This window comes from Homo sapiens, chromosome 1, assembly GCF_000001405.40.
Source record: "Homo sapiens chromosome 1, GRCh38.p14 Primary Assembly".
Taxonomy (NCBI): Eukaryota; Metazoa; Chordata; class Mammalia; order Primates; family Hominidae; genus Homo; species Homo sapiens.
The window spans coordinates 179,422,216-179,449,022 of record NC_000001.11 but is presented as its reverse complement, the minus strand read 5'-3'; the positions used below and the strand labels follow the sequence as shown (position 1 = coordinate 179,449,022).

At 38.3% G+C, this 26,807-nt stretch overlaps 1 protein-coding gene and 1 pseudogene across 23 annotated transcripts in view, besides 1 other annotated feature; one reads left to right on the top strand and one right to left on the bottom strand.

The window, feature by feature from the left end:
* Positions 1 to 26,807, bottom strand: part of AXDND1 (axonemal dynein light chain domain containing 1) — a 189,031-nt gene that overhangs the window by 105,713 nt on the left and 56,511 nt on the right. For 22 of the 23 annotated variants that reach the window (XR_921742.3, XR_921741.2, XM_011509168.2 and 19 more), the window contains 4 exons: positions 19,404 to 19,505; positions 18,417 to 18,571; positions 16,681 to 16,756; positions 3,819 to 4,053 (listed from right to left, as the gene is read on the bottom strand). Coding sequence is in view for 20 of the 23 variants with exons in the window: in XM_011509168.2 (XP_011507470.1) it covers positions 3,819 to 4,053; positions 16,681 to 16,756; positions 18,417 to 18,571; positions 19,404 to 19,505 (568 nt within the window). In the remaining 3 variants the exon portion in view is untranslated. The remainder of the gene's footprint in view (positions 1 to 3,818; positions 4,054 to 16,680; positions 16,757 to 18,416; positions 18,572 to 19,403; positions 19,506 to 26,807) is intronic. The other variant, NR_073544.2, reaches the window with a different exon arrangement.
* On the top strand, positions 385 to 1,239 carry MEF2AP1 (myocyte enhancer factor 2A pseudogene 1; annotated as a pseudogene).
* Positions 7,269 to 7,769: an enhancer, noted in NCBI's record as "H3K4me1 hESC enhancer chr1:179410389-179410889 (GRCh37/hg19 assembly coordinates)". NCBI's record gives its function as "activates a minimal SCP1, AML or CMV promoter by ChIP-STARR-seq in primed H9 embryonic stem cells {active_cell/tissue: H9 hESC(primed)}" and the evidence as "EXISTENCE:reporter gene assay evidence [ECO:0000049][PMID:30033119]".

The window sequence follows — 26,807 nt, the reverse complement described above, 5'->3', positions numbered from 1 at the left end:
TCCTAGCTACTCAGAGGTTGAGGTGGGAGGATTGCTTAAACCCAGGAGGCTGAGACTGCAATGAGACAAGATCATGCCACTGCACTCCACCCTACATGACACAGCACAACTCTGTCTCAAAAAAAAAAAAAATTAACTCAAAATGGATCAAATACCATTATATAAGAGCAAAACTATAAAACTCTTAGAAGAACTAAACGTAAATCTTCATGACTTTAAATTTAGGAAAGGATTCTTAGATATGACACCAAAAGTACAAACAAAAAAGAAAATAAAATCGGTAAGTTGGATGGACTTCATTGAAATTAAAAACTTTTGTACTTAAAAGGACACTATCAGGATGTCCTGGCGAGTCCCAAGCTGAAGGAGGCGGCTCCAGGCAGTGCGGAGCGCTGGCGGCGGGCCCAGGCTGCAGCGTGTGCGTGCCCAGGAGACACACACAATCTTGTAGAAAATTTCAGCTGTAGCCCTTGGAGTAGAAGCTGAAATAACAGAAGCTGTACGATGCATTACGGTATTGAAGAAAATTAACTTTTATATTAAATATTTGGAATATAAGGAAATAAGGAAAGGTGGCTGAAAATGGTGCAGAAGAAAATACAAATCACATGCATAATGGATGAAAGGAACTGAGAGGCCACTTTTACAAAGAGAGAGTTTGGATTAATGAAGAAAGCCTATGAACTTAGTGTGCTCTATGACTGTGCATTTTCAACAGCTCTAACAAACTCTTTCAATATGCTAGCACTGATATGGACAAAGTTCTTCTCAAGTATACAGAATATAATTAACCTTATGAAAGCACAACCAGCTCAGATATTGTTGAGGCTCTGAACAAGAAGGAACACAGAGGGTGCGACAGCTCAGACCCTGATACTTCATGTGTGCTAACTCCATATACAGAAGAAAAATAATTAATGAGGAATTTGATAATATGATGCAGAATCATAACATTGCACCTGGTTTGCCACCTCAGAATTTTTCAATGTCTGTCACAGTTCCAGTGAAAAGCCCCAATGCTTTGTCCTACACTAACCCAGGGAGTTCACTGGTGTCACCATCTTTGGCAGCCAGCTCAACGTTAACAGATTTAAACACGCTCTCTCCACCTCAAACCATATTACATAGAAATGTGTCCCCTGGAGCTCCTCAGAGACCACCAAGTACTGGCAATGCAGGTGGGATGTTGGGCACTACAGACTTCACAGTGCCAAATGGAACTGGAAGCAGCCCAGTGGGGAATGAATTTGTAAACTCAAGAGCTTCTCCAAATTTGATTGGAGCTACTGGTGCAAATAGTTTAGGTAAAGTCATGCCTACAAAGTCTCCCCCTCCACCAGGTGGCAGTAATCTTGGAATGAACAGTGGAAAACCAGATCTTCGAGTTGTCATCCCCGCTTCAAGCAAGGGCATGACACCTCCACTAGTAAGTTGAACCTTTCTTCAACTTCATTCTTTAAAACATGTATTTTATACATAGCCTGTAGCTTCCTTTGGAATTTTCTGCGCCAACTGTAGAATCTATACCTATTCCTAATGAATATTTCCATTCAAAATTAGTATTTGAAGGGACAACACTATCTTAAATACACAAAAATCAGATTATGGAAATTTGCTTAATGGTTATTTAAAATTAAAGCTAAATATGAACATGGATGGAACTGGAGGTTATTGTGTTAAATGAAATAAGCCAGGCATGGAAAGATAGATATTGCATGTTCTCACTCATGTGTGGAACCTAAAAAATTTGATCTTGTGGAGATAGAGAATAGAATGATAGCAGATGCTGGGAAGGGTGTGTGGGTGGGAGAAGGGATAAAGAGAGGTTGATTAGTGGGTAAAACCATACACTTAGATAGAACAAATATACCCCTGTATTCAATAGGAGAGAAGGGTGACTATAGTTAGCAACATTGTAGATGAAGTATATTTCAAAGTAGCTAGAAGAGAGGACTTGAAATGTTCCCAACACATAGAAGGGATAAATACTCAGGATAATAGATACCTCAAATACCCTGACCTTGATCATTACACATTCTATGAATGTAACAAATACTCACATGTACCCCATTAATATGTAATACACTTCCAATCAATTTTTAAAAGTAAAATATAGAGAGATTATTATGTTTAATTTTTAATTTTACCAGGCTAGAAGCATTAAACATGACTTATTTATTCTGTTTAAAAAAAAAAAAGGACACTATCAAGAAAATGGAAAAGCCACCCACAGAAAAAGATAAAGTGTTTAGAATTCACATATCTGAAAAGGGACTTGTATTCAGAACATATTAAGCAGTCTTATAACTCAATAATAAAAAGACAACCTAAATAAAATATGGGCAAAGAATCATTAGAGTATGTGAAAGGGTGTTTTACATTTATGTTAGACCTAGCTACTAATGGACTCCCAATAAAGGACATTTTTTAAAAAGAAGTATGATATGTAGACCACTGGCAACAGAATCACCTGGGATGCTTGCTAAAATTGCCAGTTTATGGGTATCTCTGTAGACACAGTGTACCAAGGAGACTGGAGGCAGGGCTCAGGAATCTGCATTCTTCACCGAATCCCTAATCACACTAAAGTTTGAGAACCACTTATATAGAATGTTACTTCACAGAATAATATCTCAGATAGGTCTCATTCTATTTGACATTTTCAAAGAGTTACACTGTCAGTTGGTGGACATTTGTCTAGAATTCTAACACAAGTGATAATAGTGCACAATAACACACAATATTCATTAATGTTGAACAATGGTATCTGTTCTCTGGTAGTATGAAACCTTAGAAAATGGCTTTTCTTTCTATACATGTTATAAATCAATTTTTGTCTTAGAAAAAAAACATAGGCAAAGTACCTGAGCAGACATTTCTCCAAAGAAGATATATAAGTGGCTAATAAACCTTTAAAAAATGCTTGACATCAGTAGTCATCAGGAAAACACAAATCAAAACCACAGTGAGATTTTATTTTACACCCACTAGTATGGCCAGAATTTAAAAGTGAGACAAGTACTAGCAAGTATGCAGAGAAAGTGGAACCTTCATACACTGCTGGTGGGAATATAAAATGATGCAGCCTCCTTGAAAACAGTGTGGCAGGCTTCAAAAAGTTAAAGATATAGTTATCAAATGACCAAGAATTTCACTCCTGTGCATATATCCAAGGAAAATGAAAACATATTTCTACCAGGAAATGTGTAATAAATGTCTATGTCAGCAATATTCATAATAGTCAAAAAGTGGAAACAACCCAAATGCCTACCAACAGATGAAATGATAAAATGTGATTTATACATACACTATTATTAGGCCATAAAAATGGGTGAAGTACTGATAATTGCTAAAACATGGATGAACATTGAAAACATTATCCCAAGTGAAAGAACCCAGTCAAAAGATCAAACAGAACATGAATTCATTCACATGAAAGTCCAGAACAGGGAAATCTATAGAGACAGAAAGCAAACTTAGGACTGAAGTGACGATGTTGGGGGTAAGAGGGTGAGAGCTAAAGAGTATGGGGTTTCTTTTGAGGTTCATTTTGATGAAAATAATCTAAAATTGACTGTGGTAATAGATGCACACATCTGTGAATATAATAAAAATCACTGAATTATACACTTTAAATAGGTGAATTGTAATGTATATAAATTATATCTCAAAGTGATGCTCAATGCTTTGCTTATTTTGCTTGGTTTTTAAAACTATATGGATTTATTACTTTTATTTTAAATATTCATTGTATTGAAAATAATTATTGTGGAAACATTTTATACCAAGAAATCTAATTATTATGAGTATTTTCTTACCATTGTCCCCATTTATTCTTATTTCATATTCTTTGTAGAGTTTTTGTATGTTTTTGATAATTTCCTCCATGTACTGTCGCTCTGATGGCATCTCCCCCTCCAAACTTTTATGCCGATTAAATATCCCAAGCCCAATATCTGCCCAGTTTTCCTGTAAATGTTTAATAATCTTGAGAGTATCGTATTTTGACAGTAGAACATCCCCAGTAAACTCTTCTTTTTTCTCATTCAGGATCTAAAGAGTGAAAGGAAGAGGGAGAGTAGCATATTATCCACTAATGAGTTTATCAAAGTCTACCAGATGCTTATTCCCCAGTGACTCCCAATTATTTTGGAGTTGCATATCCTATTATTATTATGCTCCAAAGAGATGGTATATGACATATATCTTATTTTTAAATTAAAATGAATTTAAACTAATTTTGGTACTCTATGAGATAACCCATAGTTTACCAGGATGAAAATCATTATATTAAATCCTATGTGGTTAAAAAAAAAAAAAAAGTAGTGATAAGCAATTAAGTCCTACAAAGCTAAGCATGTTTAATACTATTGGCTTTAGTAAGGTTGTAATATATCTGTTTACATGATCCCCACTAGACTGGGAAAGTTCCTAGAATATACAAGTTGTATTTTATTCATGTTTTGTTTATCTGTGTAAACCCAAGTCCAAGTCCTGAACATGACATATCAATAAATATTTGTGGAAAAATAAGGTACAATTTATATATATAATTTGGCATTATTTGTGCTCAGATAATAGGAACATTACCCAGCCTTCAATAAGAGTAATTAGCATGGGGAGACAGTGTAGAAGAGCAATTAGGAGTAAGAACTTTGAAACTGGAGAGATCTGGACTCAAATTCTGACTCTGCCACTTACCTTTTATAGATAACTTAGGTAAGTTACTTAACATCCTAGGCTTCGATTTCCACATCTGGGACATGGAGATTATAAGACTTGCATCATAGGGCAGCCATGAAGAGTAAGTAAGATAATATATGGAAAACACATTTTCAGCTCCTCACACAGAGTAAGTGCTTAATAAATGAGAGCTATTACTATTCCTAAATTGAAGAGGTATGACTTTTTTCTATTTTTTCTATGCATGTCAAAACCTCCAGATAAAAAGTAAAAAAAAAAAAAAAAATTCACTAAACTAGACATGTTGTATATAGAACAGGAAATATCTTCAATTCTGAGAATATACTGTTCAAGTTATTCCTAAAGAAAAGAAAATGGTTTGTTGGGATCTTATGAAATTTTATTAGGGAATGATTTTGATAATCACTTTGGAAGTATTTCAATGTCACTTATATTTTCCTTTGTCAGACTACTATAACATGATAGTAATTTGATCAATGAAATCTATTTTCCAAGCTCTGACCCCTTAAAGATTATGTTATTAATGTATAAACAAAATGTGGTATATAAATACAATGGGATATTATTGAACCTTGAAAAGAAAGAAAATTCTGACACTTGCTGCAAAATGGATGAACCCTGAGGACATTATGCTGAGGGAAATAAGCTACTCACAAAAGTAAAATACTGTATGATTCCACTTATATGAGATGCCTAGAGTAGTCACATTCATAAACAGAAAGTAGAATGAGATTGCCCAGGGGGTTGGGGGAGGCAGAAATAGGGACTTACAGTTTAATGGGTACAGAATGTCAGTTTGGGGAAAAGAAAAAGTCCTGGAAATGAATGGTGGTGATGGTTGTACAACAATATAAATATATTTAGGGCAACTGAACTGTATGCTTAAAAATGATTAAAATGGTAAATTTTGTGTTGTATATATTTTACCACAATAAAAAAAGATGTTATTAATTTTAAAAGTCCAATTTGTCCTTAAAAGCCAGATATAGGATAGGCACAAACATTACTTATGTCTGACAATTAGATAATAGCATTGAACTACCCTCACTTATAGGGAGCCGAAGCCCCGTGGGACGGGACCAACTCAGCGCTCCACTTGAGGCTATATGATCAAACAGCAAACTGTTTATCATGAATGCAAGATGTGAACAAACTCACACTGCGCCTGCCACCAAAAGGTTTGCTGAGGGACATCACTCCTTGGCGCTGGGCTCCTTGAAGTTATCTATTGAGAAATCTAGCACCTATTGTTCAAAGGATGCAGTCTCACAAGCCTGCTGTGAACCAAATGGCCCATTGACAATTACTCGACAATCACCGCCCCCCTTTCTCGCTATCTCTTTTACCTAATACATATGGAGCGCTGTGTAAAGCTCAGGGCCCTTGTGCACCAGAGGCAAGGTGCCCCCTGACCCCTTCTTCCAAATATACTCTTTTGTCTCTTGTCTTTTATTCCCACGTTCGCCCCACTTTGTTCAGTCCCCCTAGTTTCGTGCGGGTTACATAGTGGCATCCGAACACAGGACTTCAAGGATGTGAACAAAGAAGGTCTGCTGGAACAGAGGAACTAAAATTGACAAGGCAAACAGTGACCCCGGGATGAGTCTGCCGGCAGCGGATGTAAGGTCAGTGCCCTAAAGAGGTACCGAGAGCAGTGCTTTAAAGAAGTAATGGGAATGGGAAGTTTTCTGAATCAGGGTAACATGGAGCAGAATTTGTCTGTTGAAGAAAAACATTATGTACAGTTGCTTAAAATTTTGTTGAAACGAAATGGTCCTCAGGTTAGTTCTCAGACATTGACTAAGCTGCTGCAGGAGGTTATTACGCATAACCCATGGTTTCCACAGGCAGGCACTCTTGATGTGGAAAATTGGGATAGAGCAGGAGAAGGATTAAAACAGGCTCATCAAAAAGGTCTTAAAGTTGATTCTTCAGTTTTCTCCACGTGGAGTTTAGTTCGTACTGTACTTCTGCCATTATCTCCTTATTATTCTGCAGGACAGCAGGCTGAATCTAAAAATCTGAAAGAATCTGTCGTCCCACCCACAGCTCCAATTGAAAATAAAAACAGGAGAGGGAGGATAAAAAGTGGCCTATACCGCCTCTTCCAGTTGCAGAAACATCTGTACGGCCTCGTTTGGTAGCAGAAATAGAAACCCCAATACAAAGAATTTTACGCTGTGCTGCCATAGCTGGAGAGCCCTTAGGACCTTGTGCTTTTCCTAGTTCCGTAAGGCCTGATCCAAATAATCCACAGCAGGTTATTCATGAACACACTCCACTAGAGTTTAAGTTGTTAAAGGAATTAAAAGTAAGTGTGATAAATAATAGCGTACAGAGCCCATTCACCTTAAGATTGCTAGAATCTGTGTTTGGTGCTATGCGTCTTTTACCCTTTGATGAGAAACACTTGGCGTGAACTTGCTTGTCTGCTAGCGCATATCTGATATGGAATTTAAATTGGCAAGAAATGTCTGCAGACCAGGCTAGACAGAACCATGCTGCTGGAAATGGAGACATTACAGAGGATATGCTGTTAGGTAATAGCCCTTATTCAGACCTGGAATGTTAAATGGCACTCCCAGATGCTGCTTATCAGCAGTGTGTACAGGCCGCTAAATGTGCCTGGGCCACAATTCCTGAAGAGGGAGTCCCAGTACAATCTTTTTTACATACATGTAAGTGTCACAGGAACCCTATGTGCAAGTACTTGCAAGATTACAAGAGGCAGTGAAGCGTCAGATTCCTCATACCGTGGCCGCAGAAATGCTAACCTTAACTCTAGCTTTTGAGAATGCAAATGCGGATTGGAAATGTGCACTGGCACTGGTGAGGTGTACAAAAAACTTGGGAAATTTTCTCAGAGCTTGTCAGGATGTAGGAACTGAGCTTCATTGCTCTGCAGTGTTAGCACAAGCAATGGCTAATTTGGCAGTTGACAAATCTAAAAGGAGCCAAAGGTCAAGCCCTAAAATGGGAAAATGTTATAATTGTGGAAAAACTGGACATTTTAAAAAGGAATGCCGCCATATGTTAGGATAGAAAGGACCTTACAATGCTGTGCCCCACCCAACGGAAAAAACGCAGGACTTTGTCCTTGCTGTAACAAAGGAAATCAATGGGCCAATCAGTGCTGCTCAAAATTCATCAGAATGGCACTCTCCTGCCGGGTAACGAGACAAGGGCCTGGACTTGGGCCCCACACACAGTAAGAGTATTCCTAGTCCAGACCTCAACCCCGTTTCAGGGATGGGTTCCCGGAGGTACATTGATTCCCTCACCCTACTCCAGGTGGACAAACTTATTTTATTGATGGCCCTTCCAAAGGTTGTGCCACTATCTGTGGACCAAAACATACTCAAACAATAATGACCTCTGGGGTTTCAGCTCAACACTCAGAGCTAATTACAGTCATTCAGGTTTTAGAGCTCACAGCTTCAGATCCTATCAACATTGTCTGTGATTCAGCTTATGCTGTAAATGTAGCCGGTCGCATAGAAACTGCTACAATTAAAAGTATACTAGACCCAGAACTGCTGAATTTATTTTTAAGACTTCAACAAGTTATTCGCTCTCGTGCAGCTTCTCTTCACATTTCTCTTATTTGCTCTCACACACAACTTTCTGGGCCACTATCTCTAGGTAATGAGAAGCAGACAAATTGATTGGTTCTGTGTTTCAGCAAGCTCAAGTGTCTCACACGCTGCTGCACCAAAATACTTCTGCCCTTACTCGCCTGTTCCATTTATGTCACAGCCAAGCTAGGGCTATAATACAAGCCAGTCCTACTTGCCAGCATGTCTCCCTGGAGCCACACCTGTAGAATGCTGTAACCTATGAGGTTTGGCTCCAAATGAAATTTGGCAAATGGATGTTACACACATAGCAACCTTTGCTAAGCTCAGCTATGTTCATGTGACTATAGACACTTATTCTCATATGCTGCATGCTACATGCCAAACAGGTGAGACAGCTGGTCATGTACAGTGACATTGTCTGTCATCAGTTGCTCATATGGGATACCTGAACAATTAAAACTGACCATGGATCTGCTTATACTAGTATGCTTTTCAAAATTTCTTACAGCTTTGGGCTATAACCCACAAAATAGGAATTCCTTATAATCCTAGAGGACAAGGCATTATAGAGTGGGCACATCAAACATTACAATGCATGTTGAAAAGACAAAAAGGGGGTATAGGAAGCCAACTGCCACCTCAATCAAAACTATATTTAGCTTTATTTACTTTAAATTTTTTGACTCCTGGTACAAATGATAAGACTCCAGCAGAAAGACACTGGCAAGTGTTAGAGGAAAAGAGGAAAATTTATCCGAAAATGTTACGGATATCTGCAGAAGAAGGACAATGGAAAGGTCCAGTGGATTTACTGACGTAGGGACAAGGGTATGCTTGTGTTTTTACAGGAGATGGAGAAACCATGTGGGTGCCCTCAAGGTGCGTGTGGCCATGGAATGGGAGACTGGAGGAACCCAGGGTGGCCAACCATGGGCCCGGTCCCTCCGGTACGAGCCATGAGCCAGCTGAGCCTGAGTGCAAAGACGGAGAGAAGGCTGACAAGGGTCACGATGACATCAACCCTCATAACCTGGGGACAACTCAAGAAAACCATGCAGGAAGCTGAGAAACTACTGGAGCATCAGGGACAGGCAAAAACCCCTGATTCCATATTCTTGGCCATGTTAGCCATAATGTCCTGTGCAGTATGTTTTCCCTGTGCAGAGGCAAAAACATACTGGGCATATGTTCCCAATCCCCCAGCAGTACGACCTAAACTTTGGAGTGAAACTCCTCCTGAGATTTGTCATGATCAGGGAGAGTAGGCTCCAGGACCCCTAACTCCCCCTGACATAGAACAGTTAGATTCTCAGAATAATGTCATTAATTATACCTTCCACTGGAAGGACTTCCTTTGTGTATCACTACACAGACATCGCTCAGCCATAGCTGTCTTACAATTCAAGCTCAAACATGGTTGAGTCACTATGGAAAAATTATGTACTTATTAGGTCTTGGTTCTATTAATGTAACTGGTGTGCTCACCAACCATTCCTGGCCCAGTCGCCCTAATTGTGCTGATTATACAGAATAGATTCCATTCAATAGCTCCTATCCCCTTCTGTGGGCCCAGTGTCTTGGTCCACTGGCTAGAAAACAATCTATGGTAACTGGAGACATTGTGGATTGGAGACCTAAAGGTCAATTAGATGGAAAAGATGAAAATCAGAAATCATAGCACAAACTTCGCTGGCATTGGTAGCAAGCTTTTAATGCTTCTTCTTTATACAACACCGAGATCCAATCCCAGTCTGCCGCCCAGATTGCTTGGCATGGAGCAGGCTTTAGCCCACCTTTTCCTCTGGCATTATCCAGGGAGGAAAGGACCAATTCAAGAGACGATATAGAAGGCAGCACTCCCATTTATGAATGGCAACATCTGGGTTGGAATATTATCCAATAATAGCAATGGTAAGCGACACAGTCGCTTTTTTTGGCAGCTAGGAAGGACCAGCTCCAGGTAAACAATACCCAATTGACCTGCAAATCTTGCCAGTTATATCACTGCATTAATCATAGCACATTGCAAACACATAATATCCCTACTTTCAGGTTTTTGGTTTTTAGGTCGCATCCCTGGGCTACGGATTCCTGTTAATCTGTCTGAGCCTTGGGCTGCCACACCTGCTTTGCATTTTGTGAAACTTCTAACTCAGCTTACTCATCGTGTCCTAGAGCCTTAAGCATGATAATTTTTGCTATTGTTTCCTTGGTCACACTAATAACTTCTGTTGTGATGTCCTCTGTAGCTTTGCATGATTCTATTCAAAGAGCTCAGTACCTGAAGAAGTGGATGCACACAGCCGACCAAGCGTGGCCACTTCAGAATAAAATTAACACTGAGTTACAAATTGAAGTGGTAATGTTAAAATCCACGGTCCTATGGTTAGGGGAACAAGTACAAAGCTTGCAGTTGCAGCAGCAAATGCATTGTCATTTTAATCACACTCATATTTGTGTCACCAACGTAGAATATAACCAAAGTATCTGTGGGACCTTGTGAAAGCCGATTTGCCGGTAGCTTTCACATCCAACATCACCTTTGTTTTATTTTTATGTATTTATTTATTTATTTATTTACTTATTTTTGAGATGGAGTCTCACTCTGTGGCCCAGGCTGGAGTGCAGTGGCACGATCTTGGCTCACTGCAACCTCTGCCTCTCAGGTTCAAGCAATTCTCCAGCCTCAGCATCCTGAGTAGCTGGGATTATAGTCACCTGCCACCATGCCTGGCTAATTTTTGTATTTGTAGTAGAGACAGGGTTTCACCATACTGGTCAGGCTGGTCTTGAACTCCTGACCTGAGGTGATCCACCCACCTCAGCCTCCCAAAGTGCTGGGATTACAGGCATGAGCCACAATGCCCGGCCATTACCTTTAATATTGGTGAATTGCAAAACAAAATTCTTGATTTAAATAGGTAAACTCAAGAATTTCAGCCTTCTTTTGAAGACTGGACTGAATTCCAGCAAGGCCTGGAGAGCCTCAACCCTTGGACCTATCTGAAGCACCACCTTAACATCTTATATGTAGTTCTTGGAATAATGTTGTTTTGTCTCTGTCTTCTGTTCATAGTCTGTAAAATCGGATGGACCGCCAATTGGAAAATGAGAGCTGCCCAGCCTGGCCTTACATTCTTTCAATTAATACATAAACAGAAAGGGGGATATGTAGGGAGCCAAAGGCCTGTGGGATGTGACCAACTCAGCATTCCACTGGCGGCTATATGATCAAACAGCAAACTTTATCATGAAGGCAGGATGTGAGCAAACTCACACTGCGCCTGCCACCAAAAGGTTTGCTGAAGGACATCACTCCCTGCCACCAGGCTCCTTGAAGTTACCTACTGAGAAATCTAGCACCTATTGTTCAAAGGATGCAGTCTCGCAAGCCTGCTGAGAACCAAATGGCCCACTGACAATTACCCGACAATCACCCGCCCCCTTTCTCGCTATCTCTTTTGCCTAATAAATACAGAGGGCTTTGTAAAGCTCAGGGTCCTTGTCCACTAGAGGCAAGGTGCCCCCGACCCCTTCTTCCAAATATACTCTTTTGTCTTTTATTCCCACATTTGCCCCCCTTTGTTCAGTCCCCCTAGGTCTGTGCGGGTTACACTCACTGCCACCCAAGGAGATTTTCCTAATTTCTTTCCTTTTTTTTTTTTTTTTTTCAGTGAGTGTCTCTTTTATAGATGAAGAAGACATATGTTGGGAGAAACAAAGCTTTACAATGTAATATACAGTAGAGCTGTCATTTTAAGCTACACATGAAAGCAAAAGTTACTAATCTTTACCCTGCATAAGCAAATATATATTCAAAGAAGAAAAAAGTGTAAAGCTGATATCTACCGAGCTTTTTGTGTTCAACATAGACTTTTTTTTTTTTACTCTAAGTTTGGGGATACATGTGCAGAATGTGCAGGTTTGTTACACAGGTATACGTGTGCCATGGTGGTTTGCTGCACCTATCAGCTCATCATCTAGGTTTTAAGCCAAGCATGCATTAGCTATTTGTCCTAATGCCCTCCTTCCCCTTGCCCCTGCACCCTCCAACAGGCTCCAGTGTGTGGTTTTTCCCCTTCCTGTGTCCATGTGTGCTCATTGTTCAACTCCCAGTTATGAGTGAGAACAAGCAGTGTTTTGTTTTCTGTTCCTGTGTTAGTTTGTTGAGGATGATGGCTTCCAGCTTCATCCATGTCCCTGCAAAGGACATGATCTCATTCCTTTCTATGGCTGCATGGTATTTCATGGTGTATATGTACCACATTTTCTTTATCCAGTCTACCATTGATGGGCATTGGGTTGGTTCCATGTCTTTGCTGTTGTAAATAGTGCTGCAATAAATATACATGTGCACGTGTCTTTACAGTAGAATGATTTATCTTCCTTTGGGTATATACCCAGTAATGGGATTGCTGTCAAATGGTATTTCTAGTTCTAGATCCTTGAGGCATCACTACATTGTCTTCCACAATGGTTGAACCAATTTACATTCCCACCAACAATGTAAAGGCATTCCCATTTCTCCACAGCCTCACCAGCATCTATTGGTTCTTGACTTTTTAATAATCACCATTCTGACTGGCATGAGATGTATCTCATTGTGGTTTTGATTTGCATTTCTCTAATTATCAGTGATGTTGAGCTTTTTTTTTCTTCATGTTTGTTGGCCACATAAATGTCTTCTTTTGAGAAATGTCTGTTCATATCCTTTGCCCACTTTTTGAGGGGGTTGTTCATTTTTTTTTCTTGTAAATTTGTTTAAGTTCCTTATAGATTCTGGATATTAGACCTCTGTCAGATGGATAGATTGCAAAACTTTTCTCCCATTCTGTAGGCTGCCTGTTCACTCTGATGATAGTTTATTTTGCTATGCAAAAGGTCTTTAGTCTAATTAGATCCCATTTGTCAATTTTGGTTTTTGTTGCAATTGCTTTTGGCATTTTCATCATAAAATCTTTGCCCATGCCTATGTCCTGAATGGTATTGCCTAGATTTTCTTCTAGGGTTTTTATTGTTTGGGATTTTAAAGTCTTTAATCCATCTTGAGTAAATTTTTATATAAGATGTAAGGAAGGGGTCAAGTTTCAGTTTTCTGCATATGACTAGCCAGTTTTCCTAGCACCATTTATTAAACAGAACCTTTTCCCCATTGCATGTTTTTGTCAGGTTGGTCAAATATCAGATGGTTGTAGATGTGTGGTGTTATTTCTCAGGTCTCTGTTTGTTTTATTCCATTGGTCTATATGTCTGTTTTGGTACCAGTACCATGACGTTTTGGTTACTGTCATCTTGTAGCATAGTTTGAATCAGGTAGCATGATGCCTCCAGCTTTGTTCTTTTTCTTAGGATTGTCTTAGCAATATGCGCTCTTTTTTGGTTCCATATGAAATTTAAAGTAGTCTTTTCTAATTCTGTGAAGAATGTCAATGCTAACTTGATGGGAAAAGCATTGAATCTATAAATTACTTTGGGCAGTATGGCCATTTTCGCAATATTGATTTTTCCTATCCATGAGGATGGAATGTTTTTCCATTTGTTTCAGTTCTCTCTTATTTCCTTGAGCAGTGTTTTGTAGTTCTCCTTGAAGAGGTCCTTCGCATCCCTTATTGGCTGTATTCCTAGGTATTTTATTCTCTTTTTAGCAGCTATGAATGGGAGTTAATCCATGATTTGGCTCTCTGCTTGTATATTGTTGGTGCATAGAAATGCTTGTGATTTTTGCACGTTGATTTTGTTTCCTGTGATTTTGCTGAAGTTGCTTATCAGCTTAAGGAGTTTTGGGGCTGAGACGATGGGGTTTTCTAAACATAGAATCATGTCAACTGCAAACAGAGATAATTTGACCTCTACCCTTCCTATGTGAATACTCTCTATTTCTTTATCTTGCCTGATTGTCCTGGCCAGAACTTCCAATACTATGTTGAATAGGAGAGGTGAGAGGGTACCCTTGTCTTTTCAAAGGGAATGCTTCCAGATTTTGCCCATTCAGTATGATATTGGCTGTGGGTTTGACATAAATAGCTCTTATTATTTTGAGATATGTTCTATCAATACCTAGTTTATTGAGAGTTTTTAACATAAAGGGATGTTGAATTTTGTGAAAGGCCTTTTCTGCAACTACTGAGATAATCATGTGGGTTTTGTCATTGGTTCTGTTTATGTGATAGATTACATTTATTGATTTGTGTATGTTGAATCACCCTTGCATCCCAGGGATAAAGCCGACTTGATCATGGTGGATAAGATTTTTGATGTGCTGCTGGATTCGGTTTGCCAGTATTTTATTGAGGATTTTCGCATCAATGTTCATCAGGGATACTGGCCTGAAGTTTTCTTTTTTTTGTTGTGTCTCTGCCAGGTTTTGGTATCAGGATGATGCTGGCCTCATAAATGAGTTAAGGAGGAGTCCCTCCTTTTCAATTGTTTGGAATAGTTTCAGAAGAAATGGTAACAGCTCCTCTTTGTACCTCTGGTAGAATTTGGCTGTGAATCTGTGTGGTCCTTGGCTTTTTTTGGTTGGTAGGTTATTAATTACCAAGCAAATGGAAAGCAAAAAAAGCAGGGGTTGCAACACTAGTCTCTGACAAAATAGACCTTAAACCAACAAAGATCAAAAAAGACAAAGAAGGGCATTACATAATGGTAAAGGGATCAATTCAATGAAAGAGCTAACTATCCTAAATATGTATGCACCCAACACAGAAGCACCCAGATTCATAAAACAAGTTCTTAGAGACCTACAAAGAGACTTAGACTCCACAATAGTAGTGGGAGACTTTAACACCCCACTGTCAATATTAGACAGATTGATGAGACAGAAAATTAACAAGGATATTTCGGACTTGAACTCAGCTCTGGATCAAGTAGATCTAATAGACATCTACAGAACTCTCAACCCCAAATCAACAAATCTTCTCAGTGCCACATGGCACTTATTCTAAAATCATCCACACAATTGGAAGTAAAACACTCCTCAGAAAATGCAAAAGAACTGAAATCATAACAAACAATCTCCCAGACCACAGTGCAATCAAATTAGAACTCAGGATTAAGAAACTCACTCAAAACCATACAACTGCATGGAAATTGAACAACCTGCTCCTGAATGACTCCTGGGTAATAATGAAATTAAGGCAGAAATCAAGAAGTTCTTTGAAACCAATGAGAACAAAGAGACAACACACCAGAATGTCTGGGACACAGCTAAAGCAGCGTTAAGATGGAAATTTATAGCACTAAATGCCCACATCAGAAAACTAGAAGGATCTCAAATCAACACCCTAACATCACAATTAGAATAACTGGAGAAGCAAAAGCAAACAAATCCAAAAGCTAGCAGAAGGCAAGAAACAACTAAGATCAGAGCAGAACTGAGGGAAATAGAGATGTGAAAAACCCTTCAAAGAATCAATGAATCCAGGAGCTATTTTTTTTGAAAAAATTAACAAAATAGACCACTAGCTAGACTAATAAAGAAGAGAGAAGAATCGAATAGACACAATAAAAAATGATAAAGGAGAAATCACTACTGATCCCACAGAAATACAAACTACCATCAGAGAATACTATAAACACCTCTATGCAAATAAACTAGAAAATCTAGAAGAAACGGATAAATTCCTGGACACATCACCCTCCCAAGACGAAACCAGTAAGAAGTTGAATCCCTGAACAGACCAATAACAAATTCCTGATTTCTTTTCTAGCAGCCTAACTTAATTTGACCCAAAAATCTGAAATAGAACTGAGAATATTTAAGCATATTTTTTAAAGTCCCTGAGCACTTGCTTTTTTCCTTGTTGTTCATAAAACTTAACATTGCATTTTTTTTTTTTGAGATGGAGTCTTGCTGTGTTGCCCAGGCTGGAGTGCAGTGGTGCAATCTCGGCTCACTGCAACCTGTGACTCCCTGGTTCAAGTGATTCTCCTGCCTCAGCCTCTAAGTAGCTGGAATTACAGGTGTGAGCCACCGTGCCCGGCCCCTAATATGGCATTTTTAAAGAATGAGATGTGGTCGGGCATGGTGACTCACACCTGTAATCCCAACACTTTGGGAGGCCGAGGTGGGTGGATCACTTCAGGTCAGGAGTTCAAGACCATCCTGGCCAACATGGTGAAACCTTGTATCTACTACAAATACAAAAATTAGCCAAGCGTGGTGGCACATGCCTGTAATCCTAGCTACTTGGGAGGCTGAGGCAGGAGAATCGCTTGAACTCAGGAGGTGGAAGTTGTAGTGAACCAAGATCACACTACTGCGCTCCAGCCTGGGCGACAGTGAGTGAGACAACGTCCCAAAAAAAAAAAAGGATGGGATGTGCCTCAGTTGTAGGTCCGGAATGCCAAGTTTACAATCAGCACTTTGATTGCCAAGCTCTTTATTAAAAAGTCTTACCTTCTGCCACTGTTTGAAGTCTAAAAGAACTGAATTAAATATATTTCCCTTATTAGGGGATAAAATGTCTTTTTCACTGAAAAGAAGAAAAAAAAAAAGAGAAACATCTCAGAACAAGACATAAACAAGATCATCAGTTCACACACTAAAGACTAAACAACTAACATATTTCTCCTCAATAATTTTGAAGCATGCCTTCCAGGTCCAGCCCCTCTCCCCACAGGTATTTATCATTAAATTTGTAAACATAAATTCAGATTCTATTCAGACCTGAGCAATCAAGTTACAGGGCCATGGGCCACAAGAGTATTTTTTTTAAAGGGTGGTCTCTTGAGTCTTGAGAATTAAAAACCAGATCATTATCAGAAGATCTGTTGAATGCAGCTGTCAAAGCACTATATAAATAGAAAGAAAGCCTTTACAGTGATTAAGACTCAACATTTAAGCCAGAAATCCCAACTTCTGGTAGAAAACAATTTCCTTTAATGGCTCTGAAGTCTCACAAGGTGAAAGCTATTGATAAATAAGCTTCTGAAGCTAAAGAGACAAGAACTATGGCCACCCGTGCACACCTCCCAGCTAAGAATCAACAAACAATAGAAATGGGTACACGGCAGGAGCAGCCAGCTTGGAGACATACCAGCTTCAGCTTCCAGAACTTCCAAATCTACTAATGGGGAAACCTTTAAGGGGGTATGAAAAACTGAAACCATTATTCTCAATTTGAAATGGAAATGCTACCTAACAGACAAAGCATCTTAAAATTTAAAAAAAAAAAAAAACCTTAGAAATCATCTAGTCCAGGCCTCAACAGACAAAGCATCTTAAAGTTAAAAAACAACAACAACACAACAACAACAAACAAACAAACAAACAAAAACCTTAGAAATCATCTAGTCCAGGCTGGGCATGGTGGCTCATGCCTGTAATCCCAGCACTTTGGGAGGCCTAGGTGGGTGGATCTCCTAAGGCCAGGAGTTCGAGATCAGCCTGGCTAACATGGTAAAACTCTGTCTGTACTAAAAATACAAAAATTAGCCGGGTGTGGTGGCGCATGCCTGTAATCCCAGCTACTTGGGAGGCTGAGGTGGGAGAATCGCTTGAACCCAGGAGATGGAGGCAGCAGTGAGCCAAGATTGCGCCACTGCACTCCAGCTTGGGTGACAGAATAAGACCCAGTCTCAAAAAAAAATAAAATTAAATTTAAAAAAAGAAATTTAGTCCAGACTGCATCCAAAGCATAGATTCCCACTAACCTTGGCTGTGATTTAGCCATCTGACCTCAACTTAACTACTTTATTAGCAGCTTCTTTCATTGTCAGATTTCTCTAATCATTGCAAAGTATGATATCCGATCAAAACCATCTCCCTCTAACTGTCACCCATTGGTTTTACGTCTCTGCATATGATTTGCAGATGGATCCAAATACTCAAGTTTGCCAAAGTAATGAAATAAGTTGACTTTATTTCAAAAAGAGAGAAAAGAAAAAGAACTGGACTCAAATGGGGACAGCAGCAGTTGAGCAGGGGGATCGGGATGGACTAGAGAGATACTTAGCACTAGAAACCACAGGACTATTCAAGGTTGTTAGCAGGATTGTGCCTTCATAGGGACTGCTCCCCAAAATCAATGTTAGAGTGATTACAAGGTAAAAGACAGAAGGAGGAACACAGAGAATTTGACTGAGTTATCAGACATAAGTATAATCAGAAAAACAAGATTCTTGGTGACTCACTTGAAGAACTCCTGCCATTTGATAAGCCCATCCTTAACAATTTTCAGTGTCTCGCTTGTAGACTCTTCCATTTGTTCTACCTCTTGTTTAAGTTTATTCACTAAGTTTCTCCATTTTTGTGTCAACTTCTGCAACAGTGCAAGGTCTTCAGTGTCCTATATAAAATGCATAGAATCAAATAATATATTCATTTATGTATATAACAAATAGTCATTAACATATACCAGGCCATTATTAATATTGTAATACTAGAGAAATTCATAGAAAATTGATTAAAAATTGAAAAGTTACACTACTACACCATTCATTTGGTGATGAATTTTCCATGGCATTTCTTATAAAGTATTAAGAGACAAGATTTTTTTTTCCTTTGCAACATGAACCCAATGTTTCCATAGGACTTTCACAGGGGCAGTGTGGTGTGCTAGACAGAACAGGAACCAAGAAGCCAAACCAAACCAAATGTGAATTATAGCTATTACTGGCTGTGTAACCTTGGGCAATGATATCTAATCTATTTGGGATTAATTTTTATTATCCATAAAGACCCTAATATCTATCTCACAGAATTGTCTTAAGAGTTAAATGAAATGACTAGTGTAAATGCTTTGACTCAGTAGAAACATGCTAAATGCCCTCCTTTTCTATCTAGTGTGCTCACTGAATTTTCCCATAAAATTGATAATGCAACTATTTCAAAAAACACAGCTATTTACTTTTTTTACTTTAACCATGAATCAATAGGATCATAATTGTATGAGTAACCTTGTAGTGTTATTAAACTTAAATAAATTGCTTTAATTAGAAGACAAATATAGAGAAATAAGGGCCTTTATTCACCTTCCCATAGATTTTTCATTCTGTACAATAAGCACTAATATAAAATGATATTTTTAAAATCGATAAATTTAACAAAGGCATCTTACAGTCTCAACCCTCACCACTTGGCATCTTTTTTTCCCATAACTGAAGATAATTGACCTTTACCTTGTTTGATAGCAGTATGATGAAATGCTTAGTGTATTTATTCCAGCCTTTTTCATTAAGGTAAAGTCTTCTAGCCAATATGACTCTATTTCTTTCAATCACCTATAAAAATAATGTACTATAATCAGGAACCTAAAACATTAGCAAACCACTATAATTTATTACAGTGATTTCATATATCGATTTTTCATGGAATCATTAACTCAACTAAAATTTCTCGTTTAAATCATTAACACGAATTACAAATTCACATTTTCCACTGAACTGGAACCAAACTGAAGTATAGTGTATAGCAAAACTTCTCCAAAAATTTGATCTAAAGACCCCTTTATACAAAAAATGTTATCTCAAGGCCCCTTTATACTCTCAAATGCTTTTATTTATATGGAATGCATCTATTGATATTTACTGTATTGGAAATTAAACTAGATATTTTTTTTTCTGAGACAGTGTCTTGCTCTGTCACCCAGGTTGGAGTGCAGTGGCGCAATCTCGGCTCACTGCAAGCTCCAACTCCCGGGTTCACACCATTCTCCTGCCTCAGCCTCCTGAGTAGCTGGGACTACAGGCACCCACCACGATGCCTGGCTAATGTTTTTTATTTTTAGTAGAGATGAGGTTTCACCTGTTAGCCAGGATTGTCTCGATCTCCTGACCTCGTGATCTGCCTGCCTCGGCCTCCCAAAGTGCTGGGATTACAGGCGTGAGCCACCACGCCCGGCAGAAAGTAAACTAGATTTAACACGTGTATTTGTTAATCACTTAAACATTAACAAACCCATTACATATTAACATAAATAGCATATTTATTTTTAAAAATTGTGTTAAATTAGTAAAAAGAGTGCTATTGTTTTACATTTTTACAAATCTAATGTTTGCCTTAGAAGAACAGAGCTGGATTCTCATTTGCTTCTGTATTCAATCTGTTAGAATATATCACGTCATGTAGCTGCTAGAAAAATCCACTGCATACTCTTAATAAAAGAATGAGAATGAAAAAGGCAAACAACATTTTAGTATTATAATGAAACTAATTTTGATTTCTTGAAGCTCTTAAAAGGGTCTCATAGAGGCCTCCTGCCCCCCACAAGGGGTCCCTGGGCCATACTTTGAGAACCACTAATATAAGAAATCAACTGCTAGTCATTTAATGAAATACTGTTCTAGACACTGTGGACATAGACATGGACAAAAGAGATAAAGTTCTTATTTTCAAGGAATTGACATTCTAACTGTCACTTCAGTTAGAAGGGACTCTAGGGATGATCTAACACAAAGCTCATCAATGCAAGGAATTCTACAGAAACCTCTACCAGGGGCCAGCTCTCTACTATTGAAATACTTCTAGTGTGAGGGATCTCACTTTTCTTCTTTTTTCTCCACTGAACATGTCTAGCTCAAATCTGTTTCTTACATCATGTATTTACTGTCATGATTGTTTCCTCTGAAAATGTCAATGTGCCCTTAAAAATTCTGCATCAGAATGGAACACTGTATTCTAGATGAGGTCTGACCATTTCAGAGAAAAATGAGACAATGATCTCCTTCTATTCTCTTTACTTCTAATCTTGTAAAAGTCCAGCATTGTTTTGAGAATCATTTCATGCAGTTGCCTTAGCAAATCCACAGTTACTTCAATGTCACAAATCTTTTTTTTTTTTTTTTTACATGGATTGCTCTTACATTGGGTCTCCTCCTTTAGGTGGCTGCCCTGAGTTTTGTTTGTCTTTTGTCTCTGAAGATGGTATATAATGGAAACTGGGAGTTCAGGCTCTGGGATCAGACTTGCTAGGTTCACCATTTATTAGCTATGTGAACTTAGGCAAATTACCTCTCTGAGTCCTCATATGAAAAATGTGGGTAATGATAGTACTGTTTCAAGGGATTACTGTAAGAACTATGCTAATTATTCCCTTAGCAAAATATCTGACAGATAGTAATAACTGAATAAATAATTGCTGATTCTTTTTTAAAAATAATATCATGGTAATTATTAATGTTAATCATATTAGTAAGATTAATCTATACATTTATCCCTACTAACATTTCATTTGTCTGGAAAGGCTCATCATTCTCAATCGTTGAGATATTTGAATCTCATGAAGTTTTATGGGCAGGAACTTTGTCTCAATTATTTTTATTTTACCAACCAGTACATGGCATAATGTCTGACACATAACACATGCTCAAAGTTTATTTTTAAAAATTAGTAGATCCTCAAAAATTACCATTCAGTCAAAAAATTAATATATATTTGTTAAAACAAAGTCAAACAATATAGAAGTATAAAGTAAATTTCAAAATTCCCACCAGCTCACCCAACCCTAACATTCAACTAACCAAAGGTAATGTCTTATTAGTTTGCTGTTCTCTTGGTGAAGATTTTGTGTGTGTGCATATATAAACTAAACTATATATAGTTTTTTTTTGTTTGTTTTTGTTCTTGTTTTTGTTTTGAGACTGATCCTCACTCTATGGCCCAGGCTGGAGTGCAGTGGCATGATTTCGGCTTACTGCAACCTCTGCCTCCCAGGTTCAAGTGTTTCTCCTGCCTCAGCCTCCCGAGTAGCTGGGATTACAGGCATGGGCCACCATGCTGCCTAATTTTTGTAATTTTTTTAGTAGAGACGGGGTTTTACCACGTTGGCCAGGCTGGTCTCAAACTCCTGACATCAGGCCATCCACCAGCCTCAGCCTCCCAAAGTGCTGGGATTACAGGCTTGAGCCACTATACTTGGCCACATAGTTATTTATATACTTGTGATAGTTTTTATTAAATGTTCTCCTATCCTTTTATATTATTCTAAAACTTGCTATTTCTTTTACTTATCATAGCCATCTTTGCACATACATATATATCTACAACATTCTTTTAAATGGCTCCTTAGTGTTCTACTGTTTGAATAACTATAATTTCCCTTCTGGTGGATATTTAGATTATTTCAATATTTTTGTAATCACAAGCAATGTTGAAATGAACATCCATATTCTTATTCACTTGTATTAGTATTTCTTAGGAATGGAATGACTTTTTGCCTGTGTGATTGGTTAATCAAACAGGTACAAATTTAAAATACTGTTAGCCTCTATAAAAATTTCTAAAATGGTTATATCAATATATATGCCCATCAATAGTACATGCAAATGTTCATGTTTATCATCTGTCTATGTTTGCCCATATGCTAAGCTAAAAATGTTATCTAATTATTCTGTATGTTCCATCTTATTGATGATTGGTGAGGTTGAACATATTTTCATATATTTATTGGCTATTTGAATTTCTTACTCTGAATTATCTGTTTATAGTCTGTGCCTACTGTTTTGCTGGATTATTTTACCTTTAAAATTTATTTATTCTACCACTTTAGTAATATTAACTATACAAACATTTTCTCCCAGTTTGTTATTTGCTTTTATTTCTAGTGATTGTCACTGAATGGAAGTTTTAAATTTTAAGATTTCCCGTCATACTTAGAAAGAGCTTTGGCCAGGCGCAGTGGCTCAGTCCTATAATCCCAGCACTTTGGGAGGTCGAGGCAGGCAGATGACAAGGTCGGGAGTTTGAGACCAGCCTGACCAACATGGTAAAACCCCGTCTCTACCAAAAATACAAAAATTATCTGGGTGTGGTGGCATGTGCCTGTAGTCCCAGCTACTTGAGAGGCTGTGGCAGGAGAATCGCTTGAACCCGGGAGGCAGAGGTTGCAGTGAGCCGAGATTGTGCCACTGCATTCCAGCCTGGGTGACAGAGTGAGACTCTGTCTCAAAAAAAAAAAAAAAAAAAGAGCTTCCACATTTCTCTCTTTACACACACACACACACACATATGTGAGACAGGGTCTAACTCTGTCACCCACACTGGAGTGCAGTGGTGTGATCTCAGCTCACTGCAGCCTCAATCTCCCTCCCTGCTTCTGCCCAGCACAAAGCACATGGAAAATTTTCCCCAAACTCATGGTTTTTACACTGGAAAAAGTGAGATCAAGATGGACAACAAGCTTCCTCATCATGTTGATTCCTTGGCAGGAGACCCCATCATGTTGATTCCTTGGCAGGAGACCCCATCATGTTGATTCCTTGGCAGGAGACCATCACAAGTGCCTGAAGAGATAAATATGCCTGAGGACAGGCAGAGACAAAGGGTAGAAGAAGGACTACCATCCCCAGGCCTGGAAACTTTGCTCTGCAACTCAGCCAAAGGAGACTCCATGTGAGAGAGGGTTATCAACAGCACCATGCTGTGCAAGGTTCATTCCACAGATTCCCTGGGCACTAGCCCCTAGCCATCCTTCTCACACTGCAGAGATATTGCCTTTGGAAACTCCCCTACATAGGAAGGGTAGCACTTCAATCCTTTACTAGAGTTGAGGTGAACCTGGGTTTAAAGCACCATGTAGTGCTGAAAAGGAGGCAGCAACCTTAAGATTTGCTAAGCAAAAATAGCCAATCAAACATAAAACAAGCCAGACAGAGAAGATTAGAATAAATAACTAAACCTTCAATGCAAAGTAATAGACATACATTCATAAGAAACAACAGCAAACAGGGAACCATGATCTCCCCAAATGGACAAAGCAAGGAACAAGTGAGTGACTCTAACACGTGAGCTCTCTGATGAAGAATTCAAAACTACAGTTTTAAGAAAACTCAGTGATCTCCAAGATAACCCAGAAAAGCAATTCAGAAATTTATCAGAGAAATGTAACAAAGAGATTGAAATAATAAAAAAATAAAATTACTGGAATTGAGAAATACATTTGCTGAACTGAAAAATTCATCAGAGGTTCTCAACAGCAGAATGCATCAAGAAGAGGAAAGAATCAGTGAACCCAAATACAGGCTACTTGTACACAATCAGAGGAGAAAAAAGGATAGAAAGAAACAAGAATCAGCCAGGCATGGTGGCTCACGCCTGCAATCCTAGCACTTTGGGAGGCCGGGGCAGGTGGATCACCTGAGATCAGGAGTTTGAGACCAGTCTGGCTAACATGGCAAAACTCCATTTCTACTAAAAATACAAAAAAATTAGCCAGGCCTGGTGGCACGTGCCTGTAATCCCAGCTACTCAGGAGACTGAGGCAGGAGAATCGCTTGAACCCGGGAGGCAGAGGTTGCAGTGAGCAGAGATCATGCCACTGCACTCCAGCCTGGGTGACAGAGCCAGACTCTGTCTCAAAAAAAAAAAAAAAAAAAGATAATAGAAAACTTTCAAAAACTTAGATATGAATGTCCAGTTATAGGAAGGTCTGAGAGCACCAAACAGATGTGACCCAAACAAGACCACCCAAGGTATACAACAATCAAACTCTCAAAGGCCAAGAACAAAAAGATGACCGTAAAAGCAGCAAGAGTAAAGAAGCAAATAACATGTTAAGGAGCTCCAACTTACCTAGCAACAGACTTCTCAGTGGAAACCATACAGGGCAGGAAGGAGAGAAATGACATTTTCAAAGTGCTGTAAGAAAACAAACAAACAAACGAACAAAACCCTGCTATCCAAGAGTACTATATCCAGCAAAGTTGTTCTTTAAATATGAAGGAGAGATAGTCTTTCCCAAACACAAGCTGAGAGAATTTACCACCACCAGACCTCTCTTACAAGAAATGCTAATGGGGAGTTCTTCAATCTAAAAGAAAAAAACACCAACATGTAAAAAAAAACTTTGAAGCTATAAAACCCACTGGTAAAATGATCTACACAGACAAATATAGAATATGCTAATACTGTAACTGTAGTGTGTAATCCACTCATAACTCTAGTATGAAGCCTAAAAGACAAATCTATCAAAAACAATAATAGCTACAGCAACTTGTTAAGAGATGGTTAATATATACAAATATGTAAATGCAAATAACTAAAAGTCAAAATGTTGAGGAGAATAGAGTTAAAGCGTATTTTTTTCATTTTTTATTTGCTTCTTTTCTTTTTTTGTAATCTAAGATAAATTGTCATCTCTTTTTTTAAAAAAACCTGTTATACAATGTTTTTTGTAAGCTTCATGGTAACCACCATGCAAAAACCTATAACAGATTCACTTAAAAAAAGGCAACAAATTAAAACATAATATCAGAGATAACCACTTAATCACAAAGGAAAACAGTGAGAAAGGAAAAGAGGAGTTATAAAACAAGATAAAAAGCAACAAAATGGAAGGAGTAAATCCTTACTTATCAATAATAACACTGAATGTAAATGAACTCAATTATCCAATTAAAAGGTACAGAATGGCTGAAAGGATAAAGCAACAAGACCCAACAATATCTGTCTACACAAAATCCACTCAACTATAATAACACATACATACTGAAAGTTTATGGGTAGAAAAATATATTCCATGCAATTGGAAACCAAAAGAGAGCAGGAGTAGCTATATTTATATCAGATAAAATGGGTTACAAATCAAAGACTGTAAAAAAAAAAGGTTACTATATAATTATAAAGGATTCAATTCAGCAAAAAGATATAACAATTATAAAGAAGGTGTAACAATTATACGCCCAACACTGGAGCTCCAAACTATACAAAGCAAACATTAACAGATATAAAGGGAGAGATGGCCAGGCACAGTGGCTCACACCTGTAATCCCAGCACTTTGGGAGACTAAGGTGGGCGGATCACTTGAGGTCAGGAGTTCGAGACCAGCCTGGCCAACATGGTGAAACCCTGTCTCTACTAAAAATACAAAAATTAGCCAGGCATGGTGGCAGGTACCTGTAATCCCAGCTACTTGGGAGATGGAGGCAGGAGAATTACTTGAACCCACGAGGCGGAGGTTGCAGTGAGCCGAGACTGCACCACTGCACTCCAGCCTGGGCAACAGAGTGAGACTTCATCTCAAAGAAAAAAAAAGGGGGAGAGACAAAATGTAATATAATAATAGTGGGGGATTTTAACACTCTTTTCAGTAATGGACAGACAAGAAATCAACAACAACAAAAAACGGAGTTAAACTACACACTGGACCTAATAGGCCTAACTGACATTTACAGAACATTTCACCCATCTGTTAAGGAATACACATTCATTTTGTCAGCAGATGAAACATTCTCTAGAATATACCATATCTTAGGCCACAAAACAAGTCTGAAGAAATTCAAAAAAGTAGAAATCATATAGAGTATTTTTTCTGACCACAATGATGGAATAAAACTTGAAATCAATAACAGGAAGAAACTTGGATACTTCATAAACACACAGAAATTAAATAACATTTTATGGAATGACCAATGGTCAATGTAGGAATCAAGAACAAAATGAAAAATCATCTTGAAATAAATGAAAATGTAAAAACAGCATACAAAAATCTATGGGATACAGTAAAAGCAGTATGAACAGATAAGTTTATAATTTATTGTTATAAATTATATATTTGATATATCTATATCAAAATGATAGAAAGACG